The sequence below is a fragment of the Homo sapiens genome, chromosome 21 (genome assembly GCF_000001405.40).
Source record: "Homo sapiens chromosome 21, GRCh38.p14 Primary Assembly".
Lineage (NCBI taxonomy): Eukaryota > Metazoa > Chordata > Mammalia > Primates > Hominidae > Homo > Homo sapiens.
Genome location: NC_000021.9, coordinates 30,009,778 through 30,015,639, shown reverse-complemented (window position 1 = coordinate 30,015,639; position 5,862 = coordinate 30,009,778). Strand labels below are relative to the sequence as shown.

The 5,862-nt window shown below is 33.7% G+C and overlaps 1 annotated feature.

The window, feature by feature from the left end:
• Positions 267 to 805: an enhancer, noted in NCBI's record as "OCT4-NANOG hESC enhancer chr21:31387153-31387691 (GRCh37/hg19 assembly coordinates)". NCBI's record gives its function as "activates a minimal SCP1, AML or CMV promoter by ChIP-STARR-seq in naive H9 embryonic stem cells {active_cell/tissue: H9 hESC(naive)}" and the evidence as "EXISTENCE:reporter gene assay evidence [ECO:0000049][PMID:30033119]".

The following is a 5,862-nucleotide window of genomic DNA, read 5'->3' as shown; positions in this document are numbered from 1 at the left end:
TTAAATAAATAGCACTAAGACTACAAAGAATGTAAAAATACGTGAAATACCAAAAATCCATTTTATGCTCACTGATCCAACTTCAGAAACCAGATTTCATAAAAGCAGTTTATAAAGATAATTCGTCATAGTTTAGAGTCTGTGGAGGCCAAGTTTTCAAACAGAAAGCTAGCCAACATTATTGTCATCAGCTGCCAATAATTCAGTAATTGAAAAATTGAAAACTATTTCTTTTACATTTTCCTAAGCTAATAATTATAGGCACAATGTTCTTCCTAAAAAAGTATCTTACTCTGCAAAGATCCCATTCAGAATTTTTCAGTATTTCAGATTAGCTCTTTGTCTTCTTGCTATGCAGTTTGCCTCTCCAAGCAGCAAGTGATGATGTCTGCATAAGGACAGTTATCTGCAATGATAAATACTAAAAGTTGTAGGTCAAGTCCATTGTGCTAACTTTTCTTCTGCTGGGGACACTGAGATTTCCTCCTGCATCACAAATATGTGCACTGTTAGAAGTACTGCTTTCCCTGAATTGAGGCCAACTCCACATATGCCTTTGCCTATGAATGCCACAGCAGGAGAGTTTATTGTCCTCCTTGGCTCTTGCTAGGAAAATAATCTCTTCTCCACCAAGTCTAGCATCAGAACTTGCTGCCATTGCAGAAAAGCCCTTTTCTCTTTTGGTTATTTTCTATCTGACAGTATTAAAAGTCCCCCTGGCTACATCTCTTGTTAATAAAAGTTGTCCATTGATTGCAAGCAAAAAATAAAAAATAAAGAAAGTTCACCAATAATTTGACCTTAATTTTTGAATGAGTTATATATATATGTTTGCATTTAATTTTATATTTAATAGTAACAGCATGCCTATGTTCATTCAACATTCATTAATTCAACAAGTTCATTGAACACCTGCTATGTACCAACCATACTCCTATTTGCAGTGAGACAGGTTTGCTTTTCTCCTTATGACAGATAAAGAAACAGAGTCAAGAAATCTCACAGAACTATTTATTCCAGAGCACAGACTACAACCCAAACTTGGGCCTTGCTTTTTTATCCAGTTCAATGGTCCCCGCCTTTTAATTCGAGTGTCTCAGCCCTTTGCATCTAACATAATTATTGATATCATTGGTTTAAGTTTGCCAGATTGCTATTTGTTTTCTATTTACTCTATTGGTTCCTCATTCCCTAGGCTTTTATTTACAATTTTTAAAAATATTGCTCTAGGGATTTAAATACACATCATTACCTTCTCCTATTTGACCTTAAATTATTATAGTACCACTCCACAGTGTAATTCAACACTTCGGACTTCAACAGTGTAATTTCTTTCTCCCATTACTCAATTTTAACATATTTTACTATGTAGTGACTCCACACTATGTTATGTTAAGTGTCAGCTGTCTTTCAAATAAATTAAGAAAAGGAGTAGTTGCTTACCCACATAATGAACATTTCCAGTGAACTTAATTTTTCCCTATAGATTAGAGTTGAGGTATACTTCTCACTTACCTTGAAGAACTTCATTTAGTGCTTTCTGTAATGCAGGTATGCTGTTATTTTGAGAAGCTCTTTCTCTGGACACAGGATGAAATTCTGTGATAAAATCTTTTTTCTTTCTTTTTATTGACAAATATTGTATTCCATCATCTTTCAGTTTCCATAATTTCTGGTGAGATGTTCATGATATCTCTTGTAATTGCTTTACTTTCATTTTCTTTTTTCCTCCTTTCAGGCTGTTTTTATGATAGATAGCCTCTTTTTGTTTAACTTCAGAGGTCGGACTACAATATTGCCCATTATACTTTTCTTTGTAGTTATCCAGATTGCTGGTTGATGTCTTTCTTACACATATGGGTTGATTATTTTTCACCAAGTTTAGAAAAATGTTGACTGTAATTTCTTTATATTTTCCTGCCCTTTCATCTCTTTTTCTATGACTCCAATTATACATATGTTTACTCATTTGATATGGTACCACAGGTCACTGATACACTGATCATTTTTTTAGTTTTCCGTTGTTGTTTCTCTGTGCTTTTGTTCATAGCATTTCTGTTGATCCACCTTCAAATGTACAACCCTTTGTTTAACAATGTTCAAGTTTCTGTTAAGATGTTTAATGAATATTTTTATTTCATTTACTATATTTTTAAATTTCCAAATTTTTGCTTGGCTAATTTTAGAGCTTTATTTTTTTCTAAAGATTCATCTCTTCTCTTGTTATATGCATGTTTTCCCATTAATAACTTAGCATGTTTGTGATGAATATTTTAAATTATTTGTCTGATGGTCTTAATACACAAGTTATATGTGTATTTCCTTCTATTAACTCTCTTAACTCTTGATTATGGGTGATATTTTTCAGCCTGTCCACTTTTCCAAGTTTTCTTGTATTCCAGATTTTTACCCGTTTGTATTGTCTTCCCAAAAAATTCAAGCCTTTCTCTCGGTATATTGGGAAAGGTCAGGGAATTCTCATTTAGATTTCTCTCAGGTATGAGTAGAAATGGTGCTTGACTACAATTTTAATTACATTAATTTCACTAATCTGCCACAGTTTTCACTGGATTAAGTTCTTAATGCTGCCACTGAGGGACTGAAGTCTGATTTTCTGGGCTTTTGATCTGAGAGGAGTTTCAGATGGTTTTGGTTCAATTTTTTAAGTGAATTCTTTTAAGGATATGAAACCCCTGAATGAGGTGTAAAGTCAGTAATCGTGGTAATCTTATGTTTTTGCTTTCCTTTCCATTCTAATTTTTAATGTGAACCCAGGTCCTTCTAAATTTGAATTGATATTTTTTCTTTTCTAAGTACATTTGTCTTTTAGTCTTCCTGTGATAATATGTACATTTTTATAAAATTTGCATTTTTAAGCATACATGTGGATTTAATTAAAAGTGAACTAGAATAGTTTCATCTTTTAAAGAAGGCAAAATTTTAAAATACACAAAGATCAATAAAGGTGTCATTATTCAAACTGCCAGAATACTTATTATGTCTAATCATACTGATGGAAAAGACAACCGGATACATCAAATACTAATAACTTTAGAGTAACAGCAGCAAAAAATTAATTACAATGTACCAAGATAATTACAAATAAAATAATCCATACATAAAAAATCAATCTTATATGAAAAAAATCCACTAAGAAAGACTGATTCAATTCATAAAAATCTAGGAATTTTTGTAATAGGTTATTTTGATAATGAACACTCCTCTAAAATTTAGTTACATGAGAGAAGAAAAAAGAATTAACACTAACGGAAATGTATATGCATTATTAAGATTTAGAGAAAGAACCTCACAAATATGAAGAAGAGATGAGTCTTGAATTTTGCACTAAAGTGGATGTGTCACCTCAGTCATTTAGAGAACTAAATCTGTCCTCAAGCTTCTGACTATAGAAGTATACATATTTGCCATGATTCAAAACCAGAAGAACTATGAATAGCAGTCACCACTTTTAAAATTTATCAAAACATGAGTAAATAAGTAGAAATCCAAAATATAATAATGGAGATTGCTTTCTCAAGATCTATTATAATTGAGAAGTTATTATTTGTCAATATGAGAAAATATAAATATTTACATAAGACCTTATTAACAGTGACTCCAACAATACTTAGCTTTTATACAGTGGATTATGTACTGAAATAGGTAGAATGCAGATGAAATCCTTTAGAATGATGATGTTCAAATTGGAGGCTATGCGGTCTTTTTGGGTCAAAAGGCATGTACTGACAATAATATAAGCACAGAGAGAGGTAGTAGCAATGTCATAATTAAGGGCTTAAACTCAGGAGTCAGACTGCCTGGGTTCAAATAAAGGCCGAATTATTATTTTTATTTTATTTTGTTTTGTTTTATTTTTTGGAGACAGTTTTTCACTCTGTTGCCCAGGCTGGAGTCTACGTAGTGGTGTGATCTCAGCTCACTGCAACCTTCATCTTCTGGGCTCAAACAATCCTCCCTCCTCAGCCTCACGAGTAGCTGGAACTACAGGCATGTGCTTCCACACCTGTCTAATATTTTGTATTTTTTCATAGAGTCAGGGTTTTGCCATGTTGCCCAGGCTGGTCTCCAACTCCTGGGCTTAAGTGATCCACCCACCTCAGCCTCTCAAAGTGCTAGGATTATAGGAGTGAGCCACCATGACCAGGATGTATTATTTAATGAATGTGTGATTTGGGCACATTGCCTATCTGAGCTTCAGTTTCCTCATTTGTAAGTTAAAGATCAACCTCACAGAGTTATATTCAAGATTAAATAAGTTAATCTAGTATATGCAAAGCATTAGAAATAATGCCTGCAATACAAGAGGCACTACATGTTAATTATTACTATTATTACTATACTATACCTAAATCCCATATATAGCAAAATACATTATAAAGAAAGTTCTATTGCTTGTATTTTTGGTAAGTTCCAAAATTTCTTTACTCCATGGAAAAATAGAACTATTATGTTTATTCTAGTCAGGTACCTGGAACAGACACAATCTTTTATTAATTTTTAAGGTACTTCTGTAAGAAGTAGGTAAGAATTGTGAGTTCTCCACTTAGACGTCAAACTTATAAAGGGATGAGAAAGTTTCAAAGACCATATTGTATTATCAATTAAAGAAGCCAATCAGTGATACACATCCTTTGCTTTGAATTTTTACATCTTTCCAAGTAGATACGTAAGGCCTAATTTTTGGGGTATTTTTTAAATTAACATATTGATCTCAGATGGAGTAAGAAACAGAAAGGCTAAGGAAAGCCCCATCCTTAAGGGATTATGGGCAGAGAACTGCAAGATGCCTAGAGTCAAAGAAGCTGGAATCTCTCCTCTAGGGATAAAGAAGTGGGAGGCTGGGACAAGCTAATTCATTCTGTCTTCCCTGATGAAGTTGTTCTCACCACTGCTCTGATAAGGGGAAAGGAAGAAGGGTTTTGTCCAACTTTTATAATTGTTGGTCAAATAAAACATACTCTCCTGGAGAATCTTTAAGCTACCTTCTTGTCTTCTATCAGTTCTTTATCCAAGTCAACGATCGATTTTTCTCAAGTCACCAAAATCCAACAGGGTCTCTAAACTTACAAGTTATCCCAATATACCATCCCTGCCCCCACGCCTCTGCCACCCAAGGCAACTCTTACTAATAGAAGCAAATTCTGGCAAAGCTAACAATGACATTCTTTTTCTTGACGAGAAACTGTGAGAAACCCCTTCCTGACCACCTCTTCAATAAACAGCTATACTAGTTTAAAATGCAACACATATTCTCTCATTTATATTATGTAATAGGGAAAATACATGAAGTCTTGGGCTACTGTAGCCCAACAGAAAAAGTGGGTTTTAATTTATGGTCCTTCACTTGGAATGTTAAAAAGTATCTCTACCAGCCATGAGCCTGCTTTCTGTATTTCAGTCTTAATAGGTAGATTTGGTATTGGTAGAAGAAAGCCTGCTTTTTCTTTTTCTTTTTTTTTTTTTTTTTGAGAAAGGCAAACACAGTACATAGCCTGAGCATGCATATAGAAATTACATCTCATATTTGAAAAGAAAAATCAAAAACACCAATGTTGGCCACATTTACCTAAGCAATGTAAACCATGAAATGGAATTTGAGAATGCACAAAGTTTAATTCGATGGCCATTGATACAGACTACTTTTTTTTTTTTTTGCCTAATTAGTGTAAATAACTTACAGTCACTCACTATGTGTTAGAGATCTTCCAGACCATTTTGACTCCCTCCGTGTTACTGTATGAAGGAGAGGAAGGGATGGAGAGATCATGAGGGCATCTGAGGGCAGAATATTATTGCATTCTGTGTTTTCTTCCTCCTTTAATGTAACAGAGTATGTACATG